Consider the following 21,594-nt stretch of genomic DNA (forward strand, 5'->3'; position numbering starts at 1 on the left):
TTAAATCTTTTCCATATCGATATCTAATTAGTCCATTCCAGGGCTCGGAAAAAACTGTATTTTATTTAGGCCGTACCCATATGTTACATGGAGACAAGACAGCAGAGTCTAAAATACTATATTTTGGCCAAAAAATATATGTTGAAATCCTGAACTATATGGATTATTCATCCTGTAAGAGAAAACATGCCTTCCATAGCCAAATCATTCTGATATTTCCCCACATATGTAAAAATTTTGGGCGAGGCATGGTGGCTCACACCTGTAACCCCAGCACTTTGCGAGGCCAAAGCAGGAGGATTGCTTGAGGCCAGGAGTTTGAGACCAGCCTGGGCAACATAGTAAAATTCTGTCTCTATATTTTAAAAAAAAGTTAAAAATTAAAAAATACATTAAAATGTCACTAGACCCTTCACCAGAACATTTTAGTAAATTTTTGCTAACTCCAAAGCTACCTACAGACTGCCTAGATTTTTTCAGTTTCAGTCTTACTACATGTAAGACTACAGGGACAGTTCTTTCATTTACAGTTCCATCAAACTAGATTTTTTTAAGTGATACATCTTCTTTGCATTTTCTGAGTAGCACATTTAGATATGGTAAGACCTGTACTAACCAAGAAACTGTCAAAACTGCTTTTGATTGGCATGGGAATTTAGACTCCATGCTTTCTTTCTGCAGGTTTGGTGAGAGGACTGGTGGAATGGAGTGCTTCTTGCATAACCATCCCACAATACGGAAGGATGCTCACCATGTATCTAATAAAGACAGATGCATGTGAGGTCTTTTAATTCAATTTCTCTTCTCCAAGGGAGCTTTGTTTTAGCAAATAGCAGTAATTCTCCACACCAGTGTAATTGCTTTCCAAAATTAACAGATGTTTCCTGTACATTCTGGAAGCCTGGTCAGTGGGACACTGGTTTACTCAAAATGCAGCTGGATTCTGACTTCACACAAGCAAAAGCAGTGTTTAACCTGACCACTGTTTGCTCAGATGTGACTACTTAATTTGTGCCAGGTATCTGCTGGGGCCAAGGATACAAAGGTGTTGTAATCTCTCACAATATTTATTCTTACATAGTTGTCCCTGGGTATCTGTGGGGGATTGGTTTCAGGACCCCCCACAGAGACCAAACTCCATGGATGCTCAAGTCCCTTATATAAAATGGTATGGTACTTGCATATAAACTACATATATCCTCCTGTATACTTTATTTATTATTATTTTGAGACAGTTTCGTTCTTGTTGCCCAGGCTGGAGTGCAATAGCACGGTCTCAGCTCACTGCAACCCCACCTCCAGGTTCAAGCAATTCTCCTGCCTCAGCCTCCCAAGTAGCTGGGATTATAGGCACCCGCCACCACGCCTGGCTAATTTTTTTGTATTTTTAGTACAGATGGGGTTTCACCATATTGGCCAGGCTGGTCTCGAACTCCTGACCTCAGGTGATCCACCTCCCAAAATGCTAGGATTACAGGCATGAGCCACCACTCGCGGCTCCTCCTGTATACTTTAAATCACTGTTAGACTAATTATAACCAACTAATATAAATGCTACACAAATAGTTGTTATATTATTTAGGGAATAATGACAAGAACTAAAAGTCTAAAAGTCTGTACATGTTCAATACAGATGCAACCATCCATTTTCCCCCAAAATTTTTTCAATAAGCAGCTTAGTGAATCCATGGGTGTGCAACTGATGAATACAAAGAGCAGAATGTACATGTATTTTTTAGGGGGGAAGCAGAGGGAGGTTAACAAAATGTTATGATAGAATGATGAGTTGGTGCTGTGCAACAGTAGAAGACCAAGGAAAGGGGTCCATTGTACTGTTTGATATGTAGTTAAAATCAATATAGTAAATGTTAGCTATTTTTATTATACCATAAACAGGATATGCCAGGCAATATGCTAGAGAAGGGAGTGGAGGCACAATGTACAAAAATTCACTTCCTCATTCATTCTTTCAATAAATATTTACTAAGCACCTATGTGTCAGGCACTGTTCTGGGCACTGAGGACAAGGCAGTGTAACAAAATTTAGGATCCCCCATCCATGCAGGCTGTTTTCTAGTAGGAGAGACACATAAGCAAACAAGTAGATAATATACTGACAAGAAGAGGCAGTGTTAGAAAGGAAGAACGAGATGAGTGGATGGAGAACAATGGGGAAGATTGGGAGGGGAGTGTATTTTGTTACCTTTCCTACATTGGAAGGGGAGGATTTCCACAAAAGGTAGCATGTGAATTAGGTCTAGAAAGATGAAAAATTCTCTGTCTGGGAAAAGGGTTTTTTAGGTAGTGGAACAAAGCCATGAGAGAAGAGCATGTTTTGGAATGTAGAATGTGGTCAATTTTGTGTAGATGGGCAATAAGATGATCAGACTGGGAAGGCAGACTGCCATAATGTGATATTACTGCACACCTGTCAGCATTGCTAAAATAAAAAACAGTGACAACTACCAACTACCAAGTGCTGGTGAGGTGTGCAGACACTGGGTCACTCATACATCGCTGGTAGGAAAGCAAAATGGTATACCTACTCTGGAAAACAGTTTGGCAGCTTCTTATAAAACTAAACATGCAATTCCCACACAACCCCTAATTGCACTTTTGGGCATTTATTCCAGAGAAATGAAAATATATTCACACAAAAACCTGAATATGAATGTTCATGACAGATTTATTTGTAAAAGCCAAACAGTGGAAATGGCCCAGATGTCCTTTAAGTGAAATACTACTAATATTTAGCAATACTTAGCATTAAAAAAGAAAAAGCTATTGGCATACGCAACAACTTGGATGGCTCTACAGAAAATCATGCTGAATTTTTTTTTTTTTTTGAGGCGGAATTTCGCTTTCATCACCCAGGCTGGAGTGCAACAGCATGATCTCAGCTCACTGCAACCTCTGCCTCCTGGGTTCAAGCAATTCTCCTGCCTCAGCCTCCTGAGTAGCTGGAATTACAGATGCCCACCACCACACCTGGTTAATTCTTGTTTTTTTTTTTTTTTTGAGACGGTGTCTCACTCTGTTGCCCAGGCTGGAGTGTAGTGGCGTGATCTTGGCTCACTGCAACTTCTGCCTCCTGGGTTCAAGCGATTCTCTTGCCTCAGCCTCCCAAGTAGCTGGGACTACAAGCATGCACCACCACACCCAGCTAATTTTCATATTTTCAGTAGAGACAGGGTTTCACCATGTTGGCCAGGCTGGTCTCAAACTCCTGACCCCAGGTGATCCGCCTGCCTCGGCCTCCCAAAGTGTTGGGATTATAGGCATGAGCCACCATGCCTGGCCCATGCTGAATTTTTTTAAAATGCCAATTCCAAAAGGCCACATGCTATATGATTCTATATTTTTATTATTTTGTTACATTTTATTTTCTACTTTATTATTTTATATTTTATTTTTATTTTTTTGGAGACAGGGTCTCACTCTGTCACCCACGCTAGAATGCAGTGGCGTGATTACAGCTCACTGGAGCCTTGACCTCCTGGGCTCCAGTGATCTTCCTGCCTCAGACTCCCAAGTAGCTAGGACTACGGGCATGTACCATCACGTTTTTAAATTTTTTGTAGAGATGGAGTCTCGCCAAGTTGCCCAGGTTGGTTTTGAACTCCTGGGCTCAAATGATGTTCCTTCCTTGGCCTCCCAAAGTGCTGGGGTTATAGGCATGAGCCACTGTGCCTGGCTGTGATTCCATTTTATATAACTTTTTTTTGAGACGGAGTTTCACTCTTGTTGCCCAGGCTGGAGTGCAGTGGCATGACCTCAGCTCACCACAACCTCCACCTCCCAGGTTCAAGCGATTCTCCTGCCCCAGCCTCCTGAATAGCTCAGATTACAGGCATGAACCACTATGCCTGGCTAATTTTGTATTTTCAGTAGAGTCGGGGTTTCTACATGTTGGTCAGGCTGGTCTCGAACTCCCAACCTCAGGTGATCTGCCCACCTCAGCTTCCCAAAGTGCTGGGATTACAGGCGTGAGCCACCACGCCTGGCCTTATATAACATTTTTAAACAACAAAACAATCTGAAATAGACTAGTGGTTGCCAGGGGTTGACGGGAAGAGGTGGGAGGGGGGTGGGTGTGGGTATAAAAGGACAAGAGGGGTCTTGGTGGTGATGGAATGGTGAAGATGGAGATGCAAACCTACACATCTAATAAAATTATATAGAATTAAATACACATGTGAGTACAAGTAAAAACGGGGGGAATCTAAAGATCAGTGTGGATTCTGTCAATGTTAATATACTAGTTGTGATTCTTTACTATAGTTCTATAAAATGTTACCATTAAGGGAAACTAGCTGAAGCAGACTAGTTTCTCTCTCTATTGTTTCTTTGCCACATGTGAATCTACAGTTATATCGATAAACATTTCAATTAAAAACAGTAATAAACCACATTGCAAATTCCTCCTGGGTAAGAACTATCCTTAATTTCTATGCTGTTTTTTCACTTCCACTTCCAAATGCCGAGAGCAGCCTCAGATAAGGACATAATCGGAGGTAATTTATTTGTTTCCTGGTTTTCCTGAGGGGACATGAAGTTTACTGACTTCTATAAAAGTAAAATCTATTATTTTGCTATAAATTTTATATTTAAAATGCCATATAAATTCTATGAAATAAAATCTAACAATCCAAATCTCTCTGAAGCACCTGATTAGCTACAACGGACTAAAATCACCTGACAACATCCCCTCCAGCAGGTAAAATGTCACTATGTTTACATAAGAATCAGAGATCTCTGAAATCAACTGTCATCAGGTAGGAATCTCTGCCAAAGAATACTGGCAGATTGAGGCCACAGGACTTCACCAGGTTCTATAACAAAAGCCTTCAGAGCAGCATCACACCACTGTCCCTTGGCCATCCTCTGTTTTGTTTTTAGCATAAAACAGGGAAAGGCAGGAAACAAGCGATGAAAGGCAGTGAAATGGACACGTACCTACACCTGTAGACTAAAAACTGAAAGCCTATACTTATATGCCCTTTGATAACGAAATGTCCTGGCAACCAGGCCAACTGTGTCGCTATTTGTGGGTAGATTTTAATTTAATTTGAGAGGAAAAAAAATTACAAATTCATTAAAAAGTCAGAATTATAGGATATTTTAAATAAAATACAGTTTGAAAGGGCCGGGCATGGTGGCTCACGCCTGGCCTTATATAACATTTTTAAACAACAAAACAATCTGAAATAGACTAGTGGTTGCCAGGGGTTGACGGGAAGAGGTGGGAGGGGGGTGGGTGTGGGTATAAAAGGACAAGAGGGGTCTTGGTGGTGATGGAATGGTGAAGATGGAGATGCAAACCTACACATCTAATAAAATTATATAGAATTAAATACACATGTGAGTACAAGTAAAACCGGGGGAATCTAAAGATCAGTGTGGCCAAACATGGCCAAACCCCGTTTCTACTAAATATATAAAAATTAGGCAGGTGTGGTGGCGCACGTCTCTAATCAGCTACTTGGGAGGCTGAAGCAGGATAATCGCTTGAAACCGGGAGGCGGAGGTTGCAGCGAGCTTGAGATCACGCTGCTGCACTCCAGCCTGGGTGACAGAGCTAGACTCTGTCTACAAAACAAAACAAAACAAAACAAAAAAACATTTTGAGTAATTTCGTATTTTTAAATATACCTTTAACAGCCAAGTACAGTTTTTCAAATCAGTTTGGCTCTACAGAAGCCTGTTACATAATTAGCACAGTAACAGCAGGTTGTGCATAGAAGGAAGTTATTATTTATTTATTTAGAAACAAGGTCTTGCTACGTTGCCCAGGCTGGTCTTGAACTCCTGGACTCCAGTGATTCTCCTACCATGGCCTCCCAAAGTGCTGGAGGCCACGCCCAGCTAATTTTTTGTCTTTTTAGTAGAGACGGGGTTTCACTATGTTGGCCAGGCTGGTCTCAAACTCCTGACCTCGTGATCCACCCACCTTAGCCTCCCAAAGTGCTGGGATTACAGGCGTGAGCCACTGCACCTGGTCAGAAGGAATTTAAATATGCTTTCTATACTATGACTATGGCATTTATTCACTTAAAACAAGACAAACCAAGTTCAGTTCAGCATAGACAGTATTAATAAACATGCCAATTTTTTTCTTTTTTTTTTTTTGAAACAGGGTCTTGCTCTGTCATCCAGGCTGGAGTGCAGTGGTGCAATCTCAGCTCACTGCAACTTCTGCCTCCCAGACTCAGGTGATCTTCCCACCTCAGCCTCCCAAGTAGCTGGGACTATAGGTACATGCCACCATGCCTGGCTAATTTTTAAATTTTTTGTAGAGACAAGGTCTCACTATATTGCCCAGGCTGGTCTCAAACTCCTGCCTCAAGTGATCCTCCTGCTTTGGCCTCCCAAAGTGCTGGGATTACAGGCATAAGCCACCAGAGCCAGCCAGATGACAAATTAAAAAGTCACAAAGAGGCATCTCAATCCGTTTTACCTTGGAAGTAGATTCAGCAAGCCTTTTGGGAGACAGGGTCAGTGACTATAACCTGTGTTCCAGTAATGCTAGCAGTGGTTTGCCTAAGAACTTCTCTCAACTTATAGCCAGACTGAACATGCTCCCTCATCCAGTATCCAGGTCCTACTCTCTCACAATTCAATATGCTCAGGCCAGGCACGGTGGCTCATGCCTGTAATCCCAGCACTTCAGGAGGCCGAAGTGGGTGGATCACTTGAGGTCAGGAGTTTGAGACCAGCCTGGCCAACATGGTGAACTCCGTCTCTACTAAAAATACAAAAATTAGCCCAGTGTGGTGGTGTGCACCTGTAATCCCAGCTACTCAGGAGGCTGAGGCAGAAGAATCGCTTGAACCTGGGAGGTGGAGGCTGAAGTGAGATCACGCCACTGCACTACAGCCTGGGCAACAGAGCAAGACTCTGTCTCTAAAAAATAAAAACAAACAAACAAAAAGAACCCCAAAAGGCTCCATAAAGTCTTCCTTCTCTAAGAAATCTTCAACTAATTAGAGGGAACATATCACCTGCGTCTTTTGGGGGACTATACCCCTACCATTCATTTAAATCTATTTTTTCCCTAAGTTAATAAGGGTATTATCTTATTACAAAAAGTATTTTAGCCTTACAAAATATTTACTTTGGGGACCCATAAATAACATTATTAAATAAAAGTGCTTTAGACGTCAGAATGTACTTGACAGAGAGAACAAAATGAGAAACAGGGATAAACTGGTTAAAAAAAGCAGCTCTCATGTAAATCAGTGGGGAAATATGAGACATGCATAATCCTTTCCATGCCATTAATGTCCACATGCAACTAGTAAATGACAGGAATCATATTTAACTTGCTTTGAATAGCAGCCACCACCTACCGGACTAAATGCAAATATGACATAATGAATTCAGTTTCCAACCTTTGAAACACCTATTACCTAACCACAAGAGCTTTCCAATCAATGAACTCTTCCTGCATGAAAAATCTGGGGTCTCTACAAATGCTCATTAATTTCTATTCCTATCACTGCAGGTGTCTCTGTGTTTTCCCTCTAAATAGTGAACAAATTAAAGACAGAAATAGTTTGTCCCTTGTGGTCCCTTGGGTAGAAGATTCACAGACCTCTACCAATATTAATAATAAAAAATAAAATAATAGTGAAACCATGGCTCACAGCAAAGCACAACATCAACATGTTCTGATTAAATGTCAGTCTGTCTCAGGATCAGAAAACTTGGTTCCATACTTCAGTTTATCTACAAGTTAGCTCTGTGCCCTTGAGCAAGTTATTCAACCCCATTAAGTCTTAGTCTCCTCATCTGTTAAAGAAAACAATAATATCTATCTTAAAGGACAAAAGGGACGAAATGGTACACGCAAGAGCTCCTAGCATAATGCTGGCATATCGGAAATCTTGAGTAAATCCAAGCGATTACTATTTTTTTTTCTGTTTTTTGAGACAAGAGTCTCGCTCTGTCACCCAGGCTGGATTGCAGTGGCGCTATCTCTGCTCACTGGAAGCTCCGCCTCCCAGGTTCACGCCCTTCTCCTGCCTCAGCCTCCCGAGTAGCTAGGACTACAGGGGCCCGCCACCACGCCCGGCTAATTTTTTGTATTTTTAGTAGAGATGGGGTTTCACCGTGTTAGCCAGGATGTTCTCGATCTGACCTCGAGATCCACCAGCCTTGGCCTCCCAAAGTGCTGGGGTTACAGGCGTGAGCCACTGTGCCCGTCCACGATTACTATTAAGCCTAAAACTCATGCTATTTATGTGAATGGCACTTCTAATCCTTCCTCTTGTCTGGTTCATAGACTTTTGGTGAGGTGGAGTAAAAACTGGATTGATGGGGAGTCAGTTTGGGGGAAGAAAGTTTTGTTAACGTGTATTAGTAGCATCAGATTATTTGTTTGCTGAAAGTTTCTGCCTGGTTTGAATATTCACCTTGCTGAAATCACCATTTTAAAAACAGCCATATAATTCTGTGTTCATATGCATCTGTGTGTGGGGCCTCCTTCCTCACAGCGGTAACAACACTGTTACAAAAGGAGAAAAAAGTGCAATGATGCAAGTAAACCTGAACCTTTGTGCAACAACTAAGATCACTTTCGTCTTCTAAATTTTGCTCACTTTCTCTATAAGGCTTTCCACCCCAGCATTAGAAGCTCCAGGCTGGAGCTCTGGTTTTGGAATTTCCCATTTCTGTGGTGTGGGCAAAGTCGACAAGTCTTCACGGGCTTTGGTTGCATCAGTGAGTGAAGAGACTTTACTGCATGATTTATAATGATTCCTTTAGTTCTAAACTTTAATGATCCTAAGACTATATTTAACCTAAAATCATTAACAGACATATGTTAATTTCTCACTTTTTTCAAACCACTTGATTACACAACAAAAAAAAATCCTTATTTATTTTTTTCTTACCCCCAGACTTCTAAAAGACTAAGATTTCAGAAACTTTTGTTATCAAGCAAATCATACCTGGACTTGTAAACGATTTCATTATCTATCCCTGCCTTCCTCCCCAGTAAGAAGGGCAGTAGAGATGGACTGTGCTTTATCTGCATGTTTTTAGTGGAGCTATGGAAAGAAAAATTAAGTAGTGGAAAAGCTACCTTTTTTTTTTTTTTTTTTGAGATGGAGTCTTGCTCTTTTGCCCAGGCTGGCTCAATCTTAGCTCACTGCAGCCTCTGTTTCCCATGTTCAAGCAATTCTCCTGCCTCAGCCTCCTGAGTAGCTGGGACTACAGGCACGTGCCACAACACCCAGCTAATTTTTGTATTTTTAGTAGAGACGGGGTTTCACCACATTGGCCAGGCTAGTCTCGAACTCCTGATCTCAAGTAATATGCCTGCCTGGGCCTCTCAAAGTTCTGGGATTACAAAAAGCTACATTTCTACACTGAAATCCCTTTCTTCTTGGGACTGTGGGATACATCAAAAGACCAAAAGAAAGTTAGGGAAGGTGGGGATAAGCTACAAATTATTCCTTCTTTATACATTTTGTCGACTTAAAACTACAGTTGCCCAACAATTCAAAATCAGAACTGCTTTTCAGATATAAAACAAAACAAAACAGGCTATTCTAAGTTTATTAAAAACCATATCTACTCTTTAATTTCTAATGTTTCATACGATACTAACATATGCCAAAGTATGTCAACTGTTATAAATGTTATCAAAAAAAACTGACTTCAAAAAATAAATGATCTAAGTAAAACATGAAGTTTTCGACTGAATCCACAGGAGCTAAAAGAACAAGCAGTTACACCATTTCAAACATAAAAAGCCTAAATGTGTTTGTTTTCCTTTTAATTTTTATGGAAACATCAGGGGGAAACTGGTTTTCTTTGTTCAGTGTTTATTATTTCACCTTTCCTGCATCAGAAACCAAAATACTTTGATAAATGGGAGAGTCTGGTAAACAGACCCTTGAAGATGAGGGCTCAGAACCACTAATCCATCGCATTTCCATCACTGTTCATTTTTCATGAAATCACTTAACCACCATAACTCAATTTCTTTGCATATAAAAGGGTAACACAGCAACCTTACTCCAATTCATGCTTATATAGAACCAAAAGGGGGCCTATAATAAATGCAAACAAGAAGGGCTGAGAAACCTGGGAAAGAAAACTGAAAGAAGACAGCTGTTCTTCCCAGAAATACAATCATCATATTTACTCCACTGACAGTCTATTTGGCCACTCCTATTTTTATTGCTCCAATCATAGATTATCTCTGCCTGCTGTCAAAACTACTTACAAATACAGTTTTTGCTCCAGAGATCCACGAACACAATTACCAGAAGCAGGCTAAGCCACCGAAGTAGTTTTTCCATACCACCCAGAAGAAAGTAGGCAGTTCCATTCCTGAACTTAAGACACTCAGCATTAAAAAAAGGCCAGTACTTCTTTGTAGCTACCCACACCCAAATGTGCTATAACACGAACTGTTCTTTGTACCTAACATAGTTTCAAGAAAGTATTAAAATAAATAGGCTGATATAAACATGTCTAGTCTGCTTTTTTTTTTTTAATCCAAAAGGGCTTCCCTAAAGACCAAATTTATCTATGCGATTCCAGGAATAGATAATGAATTTTTAAAAAATGTCTAGAAGAACATAAAAAGCTATCAAATGTAATATACAAGCACAGGCATTACTTATGAATATGTGAAATATGAATACTCATTCCCTTCCATAAAGACACACGCCCAGATCTGGAATTCCCCTGAACCACCTGGAAGATCAGGGAGATAAAAGTTCATCTCCACCTCTTCATCCTGTTCCCTTCCCCCTTGCTATTTCCCTCCTCAACACACTAACCTTTCCCTTCTTGAAGGCACCATCATTCAAGAGTCACAAAAGCCATTTATTTAACTTCACTGCTGTTTTATTACTGCCATAGTCTCATTTCCTATTACTTTCTATCACATTTTTCATATATTAGAAGCTAAATATGTTCTTGTGGGCGGGCTGGGAAAGCAACCCCCACTCAGTTATGACTACTGCAAAAATGCATTCCGATTTCCAAACACCCTACTGCTAGGTTTTATCCATTCCTTGACTGAAGGATGATTGTCTGATTACCTTTATATATCAGGTCATTACAAGAAGTGCAAATACTTAGGAGAACATAGTGGGCCCTCCTTGTCACCCTCCCCACTTCTGCCCTTCCCAAAAGACTTACACTGGGGACATTTCTCTAGGACCTAGGTCAGAAATTCACTTTACAAAGCAATGTTTGTCTCACTGATTAACTCAAATTTTATAAAAACAAAATAATCATATCCTTGGCTAAATTTAAGATTTTTAGATCTTTATTATTCAAGAACTTGATGAAAACACAGCAATGGAAAACTAGTTAGCTCTAAAAATAATAATGCAATCTTTTATTCTCCCAAAGTGTGCAAATTTCAGCTATCTCAAAAAAATGTTTTACTAAGCAGGACAGAATACACACACACACACACACACACACACACACACACACACACACACATCTTCTTCTTCCATACATTTTTGTAGTCTATATTTTTTTCTTCTATCTCTAAAAATATGTCTCTAAAAGTGTAGAGTGACAGTCTACCACACAAAAACATACATATGGGCTGGCCGCGGTGAGTCATGCCTGTAATCCCAACACTTTGGGAGGCCGAGGTGGGCTGACTTGAGGTCAGGAGTTCAATACCAGCCTGGCCAACATGGTGAAACCCCATCTCTATTAAAAGTACAAAAAATTAGCTGGGCATAGTGGCAGTGCCTGTAATCCCAGCTACTCAGGAGGCTGAGGCAGGAGAATCTCTTCAACCCAGGAGGTGGAGGTTGCAATAAGCCAAGATTGCACCACTGCACACCAGCCTGGGCGACACAGTGAGACTCCATTTCCCAAAAAATAAAATAAAATAAAATAAAATAAAATAAAATAAAATATCATTTATCTGCTTTGGCAGGAAATGAGACCAAAGTAACACAGCTGGACAAAATACTGCAATTTAATTCCTAATATTTAATTGATACTCTTCATAATACTTATTCCTAATTCCTTTAAAAAAAATTTGTTTCTCCTTTTTTTCATAGAGATAGGGTCTCACCATGTTGCCCAGGCTGGTCTCGAACTCCTGGGCTCGAGCAATCCTCCTGCCTCGGCCTCCCAAAGTGCTGAGATTACAGGTATGAGCCACCATGCCTGGCCCCTAATTCCTTATTAAAAGGAAAAAAGAACAGCTTTATTGCCAAGAAAGAAAACCCAATGCTTCTGCTGCAATTTCAAATGCAGGGTAAGTATGCAAACAAACAGATTTGCCAGAACTGTGTGGCTACAATTCTAACACGAGAAACACAAAGTTAAAGAGGCATACAGATTTTTTACATTTCCTGAGCTGTCTCTGAAAATAACTTACAGGAAAGGGCTGCTGTTGAATATCAGTCCCAACCCCCACCTTCTAACTGTGCATAATCTTAACTGTGCTACGACAACATGGAAATGTTCATAGGCTGTTAATGTATACTCTAATCCTTACATTGAAATCCAACAATACCATGAGGTGGTAAATGTAACCAAAGAGAGAGGTCTTCTAGACTAGGTTTCCTGATTTACAATGAAAATCCCATAATAGGACTTGCAGTGTCATTCAGCAGCTCTTCAAGACCAGTCTCAAATTTAAAATGGGGAGAAACAAAAACTTAGTACTTTCTTTCATCAGAGATGAGGGTATACTGATTCATTTAAAAGAAATAATTTTGAAGTTCAATTTATGTTGAATTCTGGTGCTTGAAGACCAAAAGATAAATCCAAACCTGTCAAATGACAGGCACTTCTGGGCAAAGTTTCAAGGGACAACAATCCACATTTCTGATTCCACTTCCTCTCTTCTCAGTCCCAGTTTGCAATCTGGCTCCTTCTCCAACAGTACCACTAAAACTGCTCTCACCAACATTAAAAAACAACCTCCTAAACACCAGATCTAATCACGCCCATTTAAAAAAGACTTGGTTCAAGTGTTGCCATGTAGGTGATGTTTTCTTTAATACCCTATTCAGGGTACAACTAAGAAAAAGACAACTAATTAGTAAAACCATGTATTATAAATTTCTGTCACCTCAATGGGCAGAAGTTCCTTGGGAGTAGGCATCACTTTTCACCTTTGAAAGTACAATGCTTGACATATGGTCAGTATCTGTGAAATAAATAAATCGAGGGTTTGCTAAGTTGCCTAGGAAAACCCAATTATCATACTTTTTCTTTGAAATATTTATAATAAGAACAAATTGAAACAACACAGGAAAAACTTGGAATGTTTCCAGGGACAGTTTTCTTTATAGAATCAAGAAATCTGCCTCAATTTCAAAAAGGAAATTCCAACATTTGGACACTATTATTTTGCTGATTTGTCTATAGCCCTTGAATAAGGGTTACAGACAAAGGCTCAAAGGCTCAAATTTTAGGAACTTCTCTCTGAACATCAAACTTCTTAAATAAAAATAGTAGTAAATGGGTACCCATCACCTGAATATCAATAAGATAGAAAGATCCTTTGCCTGCTGGCTATTTTATGTTTATTATATCTGAAACATTTCAAGGAAGAGGTCTCATAACTATACTCCCAAAATGTCAGAATAATCCAGAGTGGCTCACAGTTGCACTACCAACAAAACTGCCTCTGAGAACCCGGAGCGGTGACTAAATGATGACCTATCTGGAACACCTAAAGCTATGGTTTCTCCAGCCATGGGAACTTCCCTTCCAGTCTCCTTCATCTTCAGGTTTGGCTGTTCGTCCTTTCTCCTCTGGGGTTTCTCAGTGCCACTCCTTACACCCTCATCCAGTCTCCTCCTCTGGTTTCTTCTACTCACTCTGCCAGGCATCAGAAACTCAATTAGCCGAATGATGCAGTTAGCAAAGGAGAACGGGGAGGGAAAGAGAGAAGGGATTGGAATAAGAAGAAAAGGAGGTAGAGAAACTCACTGCCTACTAATTCCCAGCCACTACCCTACCCTTCCCCCTTATCACTCCTGACGACTTTCAGTCTTCCACACAGCTCACCCAGCCCCCAGTTTCCTCATTCTTCCTTAGTCATCTCATCCTTCCCACAAACCCTGGGGCCCCAGGCCTTGTAGATTTGCTCCTCTGAGATCCCAGGTGCTTAACCCCACCCTGGCTACCGCCTCAGCCCCAGCTTGCATCACAGGGACACACGTGCATGCACGCGCACACACACACACACATACACAGTCAGAGATAATTCACCTCCCTTGGGCTGGGGTAGGGAGAGGAGTGGAGGGGAAGACAGGGCAGTAATGGTTAATATAACCTGCGGACTAAACTGAGGACTTCACCACCATTTCAAAGCTGTTTCTTTGGGAAATACACTCTGAGTTCCAAATTACCATGAACTTTTAGAACACAATCCTTTTAGGAATTGGGGACTGCCTACAACTACTTTCTGATAAATTGTAAACATGTTGTTATAAATTTGTAAATGTAGGCTAGGCATGGTGGCTGACGCCTATAATTCCAGCACTTTGGGAGGCTAAGGCAGGAGGATGTCTTGAGACCAGGAGTTCGAGACTAGCCTGGGCAACAAGGTGAAACCCCATCTCTACAAAAAATACAAAAATTAGATGGGTGTGGTGGCACATGCCTGTGGTACCAGCTACCTGGGAGGCTGAGATGGGAGGATCACTTAACCCCAGGAGGTCAAGGCTACAGTGAGCAGTGATGGTGCCACTGTACTCCAGCCTGGGCAACACAGCATGACTCTGTCTCAAAAAAAAAAAAAGTAAATGGTAAGCAATGGATTTATGAAACATCTATATTCTAAAGAATAAGACCATATGGGCTACACCCAAGCTTGTCAAAAGTCTGTTTACTAACCAGAATTTGGTTGGTCACATGTGTAGACTCTGTAAAATACATGATTCAGTGAATTAGAGCCCTGACCCAGACTTTCTTCCCTGAAGGTTGAGAAACTAAGACACCCTTGTGATGACCCCAGCAGAAAAATCTTAAACAGAGTTCATTTTCACTTTTTCTTATCATTTTAGAACCCCAGTCAGTGTACTGGATTTTGAATTAAGTATTCTAAGGCACAGGTCTGTATTTTCAACAGCGAGATTACCAAACAGGACCCTTTGAGCTCACCTGAAATGTATGCCTCACTGTTCATTTATTTGATCTCAGGGTGTCAAGGTGTCCTCCTCAGGAAGACTTGAATTTCTTTTCTCCTCTATTCAATGTTGTTTACAAGAGGAACAACCTCCCAGGCAATACTGTGATTCTGACCCTATGACTCAGGGCTTTTGATTCCTCTGGCACATTTTAGTAGTCTCAAGCCTGTTGCAGGCTCCCTGCTGCAGGCCTAAACAAAAGTCTCCTTGGAAAGCGAAATTCAAAAGCAAAGCTCACCCAGCTTTTACCAGGCTGCCCTACTTGACAGCCTATAACCTGTCCAAAGCCGCCCTGGTTTCCTGTGGCCTCCAGAAAGAACTCTCCTTATGCCACTGGCTGGCTGCGTCCATTAACCCCTTCTCACCAGCTTCCACCCAGTCGAGTAGCAGGCCCTAACAAACTAAGCAGCATAACAGATAAAAAACAAGCTCCAGGATTGGCAGAGATAATGGTAAGCCCTTAGGGTTTAAGCCTGATGGCCAACAGAAAACACACCCCAATGGCCAAACCTCCAATTTCAAGAAAAAATTGTACTCATTCACAAATAAAGTGATTAAAAAAAAAATTTATCTTAGGCAAGGATAGTAGTACATTGTGAAGAAGCCAACCAAACTTATTACACACAAAAAAATATGCAAAAGCATGTTTAAAAAAAAAAAGGATAGTACCAATAAAATGGTTCTGCAGAGAAGAGCAATCCTGAAAACAGACAATTTGAAATATTTATGCCAAGAACCGGTAGTGGTGGCTCATGCCTGTAATCCCAGCACTTTGGGAGGCTGAGATGGGAGGATCACTTGAGCACAGGAATTTGAGACCAGCCTAGGCAATACAGGGAGACCCTATCTCTACAAAAAATAAAAAATAAAAATCAGCTGGGTGTGGTGGTATGCCCCTGTGGTCCCAGCTACTTGGGAGGCTGAAGGTGGGTGGGGATCACTTGAGCCCAGGAGTTACAGGCTGCGGTAAGCCTTGACTATACAACTGTACTCCACCCTGGGAGACAGAGAGGGGACCCTGTCTCCAAAGAAAAAAAAAAAAAAAAAGAAAAAGAAGTACTTATGCCAAGGAAGGAGCTTTTTGCCTAGGTACTAATATTCAGGAAGCAGAAATATGAAAACAGAATGCAGCTGGCTGTGAGAAAAATTAGACAAGGGAGGAAAGTAGCCATTTTTAGGCAAAAGGAGGAAGGGCAGGAAAGACTGACTACGAGTAAAGAGAAATGCTATGAGAATACCTGACAGTTAAAGGAACTTAAAATAATTTACTTTACTTGGTACGCTGACTTGCTCGACAATTTTATTTATTCAATTCACCCAACAATGCTTTTTTTTTTTTTTGGAGCCCCCAAGATATGCTTTGGCTGTGCCCCCACCCAAATTTCACCTTGAATTGTAGTCCCCATAATCCCTACATGTCGTGGGAGGGACCCGGTGGGAGGTAATTTAATCACGGGGGCGGTTTTCCCCCAAGCTGCTGTTCTAGAGATAGTGAGTGGGTTCTCACAAGATCTGATGGTTCTATAATGGGCTTTTCAATCTTTCGGTCTGCACTTCTCCTTGCTGCCCCCATGTAAAGAAGGATGTGTTTGCTTCCTCTTCCGCCATGATTGTAAGTTTCCTGAGGCCTCCCCAGCCATGCTGAACTGTGAGTCAATTAAACATCTTTCCTTTATAAATTACCCAGTCTTGAGTATGTTTTTATTAGTAGCGTGAGAACGGACTAATACACCCCACTATGTGCCAAGTATTTTCTAGAAAAGTCACATTTCAAGACTTGAATTTCAAAGACCTGAAGTTAGTGGACTAAGAACAATCTAAAGATTTCCAAAAGGGTCCATGTGCTTTTTTGTTAAACACAAACAAACATTAGAAATACAATGGAAAAGCTACCTATGCGACTATGGAGAGAAGGAAGCCGCTGCAGTGGTTGCTCTCTTGGCCTATTTTCATTCATTCTCTCTTAGACCCAATCAACATCTACTGATTCTACTAGGCCTCTTGCTTGGCTTTATCCAGGGCAAAGAGATGACTAGAACTCTTCATGGAGCTTAAAACCAAATACAGAACATCAGACATGCCAATAAATAGTTATACATTAAGACAGCCTGAGATGAAAGGATATCACAGCATAACTGGGTGGTCAGAATAGGAAGTAAACACTTCTGACTAGGTAATTGTAGAAGCTTAATGAAGCCAAAGACTGAGGGGGTGGATTATTGAGGATGGGCACGATTTTAATAAGAGAGATGGAGTAGGTATTCCACAGGTAGGAAGTGCACACACAAAAGTGAGAAATAGGCCCAGTGTAGTGACTCATGCCTGTAATCCCAACCCTTTGGGAGGCAAAGGCAGGAGCAGTGCTTGAGCCCAGGAGTTCAAGACCAGCCTGGGCATGATGGCAAAACCCTGTCTCTACAAAAAATACAAAAATTATCTAGGCATGGTGGCATGCACCTATAGTCCCAGCTACTCAAGGAGGCTGAGATGGGAGGACTCCTTGAGCCTGGGGAGTCGAGGCTGCAGTAAGCCATGATCATACCACTGCACTCCAGCCTGGGTGACAGAGTAAGACCTCATCTCAAAAAAAAAATTTTTTTTTAATTAAATTATTTTAAAAGTGAGAAATAAAGAGTAGTTACGTGTTTCCTGCATTTTTCCTATATCCACTTGAGGTCAGCAATTAGCCATCAACAGGTAAAATGACCAATCTTCAAAGAGTGGTGAACTTCTAAAAATGTGGAGGTTCCACCTGATAAGCGCACCACACGTAAATGCCTACATATTTCAGTAACTTCAGACTTCTTATACCTAGCAAATAAATGTCATTGAATTGGCCAATTTCCTGCCCCAGGTTTCCTGATATGACTTCTGAGCTGGTGTCTGGAGGCCCAGGACCTCTCTGTTCCACGCCTTCCTTGCAGCAGCACCTACATTGCCACTGGTTCAAATTCTTTGAATCGGTTACTAAAATAAATTAACTACTTCAAGCTTGTATTGCAAATACCCATTCCAACTGTATGCTAAAAGGAGGCTGCACTTGAGAATAATTACACATTTTCTAAACTATTCCTTCAACCACGTGTTTTTTTTCCCCCTGCATTCCTAACTCACCAGGCTGTTGAAGGTTAATTGCAATGATGCATGCAAAAGTGTCTGTCTGGCACCTGTTACCTGGAATGCTGATGTCTGGGTCCAAGCTGCAGCTGGCCATCTGGAGCTTCATACGGCTCTTCTACCTCATACACATTTGCATCAGCGTCCTCCATGCTGCTGGAATTCTGCCATTCCAACTCTTGAGTTTTCCGTATAGCCATAATAAATGGCAAGTTCTCGTACTCTGGTATTTCCTCATAATGGCGTATATTTTCATACTCCGGTGCACAGAGGCTTGTAACAGACTTGTAAGGTGCCTGAGATGATGACTCCCGGGAGAGCATTTGGTCATCCAAAGACTCAGCTCTCAGACCATTAGCTGCACTGGTCTGGCCCCGAGACTTCTTCCTCTTCTTTTGAGATTCCAGGCTATAGTTTTCTGTGGAATATGCCTTGATGGGTTTACTTCTCTTCTCCTCTCCTACCAACAAGCCTTGCCAATCACTTTCAATCCCCTTCTGCTCCCCACTGGAGAGGTGGCCTGTGGTGGTGTCTCCGAGTTGGCTACTCTTGGACCAAAATTTTTGAAAGTCACTCTTCATGAAACAGATGGACAGTTTCATGCTGAGCAACTTTTTAAAAGAGTTTTTCTTTGTAGAGTCTTTGCAAGGCTTAGTGCACTTTTCCACATCCATAGCAGATAACGATTTTGCTCTGGGCTTGGTTAGGGCTGTTGAAGGCTCACTGTTTGACGATACGGTGACAGACTTTAAGAATTCTGGGTTCCCTGAAAAGGGTAAAATAGGATGAGGTAACTTCCACACTGGCTTTTCTGAAGCCCGTTTAGGCATATCAAAGGAGGATGACACACCACGGTTTTGGGCACACAAATGCTGAAGGTGATTTCTTTCTAGACTCTTCTCTGAACTTTTTTCTTCACTTGAAGGATAAGAACTTTTTTCCAAAAGCTCCTCGGAGGCAGCCTTTTTAAGCACTCCTGTAGCAGGCAAGCTATGTCTTTGAGGTTTTTTGGGGACAATTCGTAGAGAATTTTCCTCTTTTATAACAGATTCCTTTTGCATTTGAGGGGCAGAAACTCCCAGGTTTCTCCCAGATTGCAAATGTTCATTGCAAGTTAATTTGAGCTGCTTAGGCAGGCTCATAGATACAGTACATCTTATAAAACCGGTCCCTTCGTCCACAGCAAGCGACATACTAGAACCATCTACAGTTGTGCTGTCAGAACTCAAATTAGAGTCTTTATCAAAAGAAGGTGCCATTTTTTCAAAGGAAGTTGTTTCATTACACATGGCTTTCTGTGAATTGACTAAGTCCTGTGCATCACTGTTGGATTCCATATTCAATTCACTTTTATTTCCTAGCTTCATTTTATCCACCTGTTCCTGCTTACACAAAACATTCTGATGCAGAACACTGATTTTATTGATTTTCAAACTATTTTCAGTAAGACAGGAAGAGCTACTGTCTGAATTCCCCGGTTCTTCAGTGCTTTCACTAGGAGTATCTACACACTTTTGGCGTAACAGACGAGCAGTTCGTGTCTTTCTGGGCTTGGGAGTTGGAAATTTTGGGGTATATGGTACTAAATGAATTTCTAAGGGACCAAGGTCTTTGACTTCTGATTTCTTACTAACTCCATCTGAAGATATTAAAGTACTCCTTTTCCCATTTTCCAGAGCCTCTAGTTCAGATGACTGAAAGCAATTATTGCTTTTTTCACTGTCATCCTGGCAAGTTTCAAAATGTTCACATTCATCACTAGGAAGCTGTAAGTGGCAACTGTGATGATCAGGAACTTTTTCAAAGCTGGATGGGGAAGGTGACAAATCCGCAAATTCAATTCTGAATTGTCCATTTGAATTACAGCCACCATTCATTTCTGGGCTGTCTGTGGGCCTGTGCTTCTGTGCAGAAATAAAAGGTGGCATTTGGTGTATTAAGGCATCTTTGAGCTCCTCTTCTAAAACGCTTGCCTTTAAAACAACCCCACCCTGGTTCTTGGCTTTTTCACCATACAAATCACATTTACTCCTAGTTTTTATAGTCAAAGTCTCATCAATTTTACTGTTTTCTAAATTTTCATTCATTTCCAGGGGCTCTAAAACAAGCTGCTTTACACACAAATTCTCTCTATGGCCCAGCTTATGGATACACTCAGAACTGCAGGAACACATTGGTGAAATATAATCATTGCTCTGATTGCCTTCATATTTACAATTAAAGTTGTCAGTGCTTTCAGCTAATTCCTGTTTATGCCCTTCCAGGTTCAACATGATTTTCCTTGATGGCGACTGCCCAATCTCTCGAACAGGTGAGGTCTTCAGGACTTTTGGTTTTGGGGCTATTGCTGGTTTCATTTTCTTTGTCGACTGTGGAACACTAGAAATCACAATGTCGGGTTTAGGTGCAATAGGAGGTGGGGCTGGCTTATTATTTGCCACAACAAACTTGGGCTTGGGGGCCACTGGTGGCTTCTTTATCTCTAGAAAGGAAAAAATAATAATTTGATGTCAAAACAACCAAAGCACAAAATGATACATGATTAAATCTGATAGCATTTTTTATTTTTAACAATATGACCTTGCCTTTTACTGAGTATGTTACATTATATAGTATCAATATTACTCCTGAAAATTCCTTAAATTGTCTTTCAATTCCATACATAGCTTTGGGTCTATTGTACATTTTTAAATAAATCCAATACAGTTTGTTTCTCCAGCTTTGGAACTGTTACCATATCTTTTTTTCTTTTTCTTCTTTTTTTTTTTTTGTGAGACGGAGTCTTGCCCTGTCGCCCAGGCTGGAGTGCAGTGACATGATCTCGGCTCACTGCAACCTCTGCTTCCAGGGTTCAAGTATTTCTCCTGCCTCAGCCTCCTGAGTAGCTGGGATTACAAGTGCGCACCACCACATCCGGCTAAGTTTTGTATTTTTAGTAGAGATGGGGTTTCACCATGTTGATCAGGCTGGTCTCAAACTCCTGACCTCGTGATCCACCCACCTCAGCCTCCCAAAGTGCTGGGATTATAGGCGTGAGCCACCGCGCCCAGCCCATCATATCTTTCATTGACAAAAAATGAGATAATTGACTTCAGTTTGGGACCCACATAGTTGTTCTTCAATTCATTTGCCAAGTGCTGAAAGTTGAATTTGCCTAAGTTAAATGTAGGATGCAGCTCTTTAAACTTCAGATCAATGATCAATGATCTGTCTACCTCGATAGATAGAACCCCAAAACAATATTAAAAAAGGAAGACAGAAATCAGAAATTTTCTAAATTTAAAAACTGAAAATTAATTCTTTGGTATTATTTAAGGCTCATAATAAACCTGGTATT

At 41.0% G+C, this 21,594-nt stretch overlaps 1 protein-coding gene across 1 annotated transcript in view, besides 5 other annotated features; it reads right to left on the reverse strand.

Annotated features, from left to right (window-relative positions):
• Positions 1-21,594, reverse strand: part of FGD6 (FYVE, RhoGEF and PH domain containing 6) — a 140,719-nt gene that overhangs the window by 113,780 nt on the left and 5,345 nt on the right. The window contains exon 2 of the mRNA NM_018351.4: positions 18,315-20,739. Within this exon, the coding sequence (NP_060821.3) occupies positions 18,315-20,739 (2,425 nt within the window). The remainder of the gene's footprint in view (positions 1-18,314; positions 20,740-21,594) is intronic.
• Positions 469-538: a silencer, noted in NCBI's record as "silent region_4737". NCBI's record gives its function as "represses an Ori minimal core promoter by ATAC-STARR-seq in GM12878 lymphoblastoid cells {active_cell/tissue: GM12878}" and the evidence as "EXISTENCE:reporter gene assay evidence [ECO:0000049][PMID:35858748]".
• Positions 7,603-8,104: an enhancer, noted in NCBI's record as "H3K27ac hESC enhancer chr12:95591907-95592408 (GRCh37/hg19 assembly coordinates)". NCBI's record gives its function as "activates a minimal SCP1, AML or CMV promoter by ChIP-STARR-seq in naive and primed H9 embryonic stem cells {active_cell/tissue: H9 hESC(naive and primed)}" and the evidence as "EXISTENCE:reporter gene assay evidence [ECO:0000049][PMID:30033119]".
• Positions 8,105-8,604: an enhancer, noted in NCBI's record as "H3K27ac hESC enhancer chr12:95592409-95592908 (GRCh37/hg19 assembly coordinates)". NCBI's record gives its function as "activates a minimal SCP1, AML or CMV promoter by ChIP-STARR-seq in naive and primed H9 embryonic stem cells {active_cell/tissue: H9 hESC(naive and primed)}" and the evidence as "EXISTENCE:reporter gene assay evidence [ECO:0000049][PMID:30033119]".
• Positions 8,260-8,359: an enhancer, noted in NCBI's record as "active region_6806". NCBI's record gives its function as "activates an Ori minimal core promoter by ATAC-STARR-seq in GM12878 lymphoblastoid cells {active_cell/tissue: GM12878}" and the evidence as "EXISTENCE:reporter gene assay evidence [ECO:0000049][PMID:35858748]".
• Positions 18,125-18,419: a silencer, noted in NCBI's record as "tiled region #9597; HepG2 Repressive non-DNase unmatched - State 15:Elon, and K562 Repressive non-DNase unmatched - State 16:ElonW". NCBI's record gives its function as "represses a minimal TATA promoter and a strong SV40 promoter by Sharpr-MPRA in HepG2 and K562 cells {active_cell/tissue: HepG2 | K562}" and the evidence as "EXISTENCE:reporter gene assay evidence [ECO:0000049][PMID:27701403]".

The sequence above is a fragment of the Homo sapiens genome, chromosome 12 (assembly GCF_000001405.40).
Source record: "Homo sapiens chromosome 12, GRCh38.p14 Primary Assembly".
NCBI classification, from domain to species: Eukaryota; Metazoa; Chordata; class Mammalia; order Primates; family Hominidae; genus Homo; species Homo sapiens.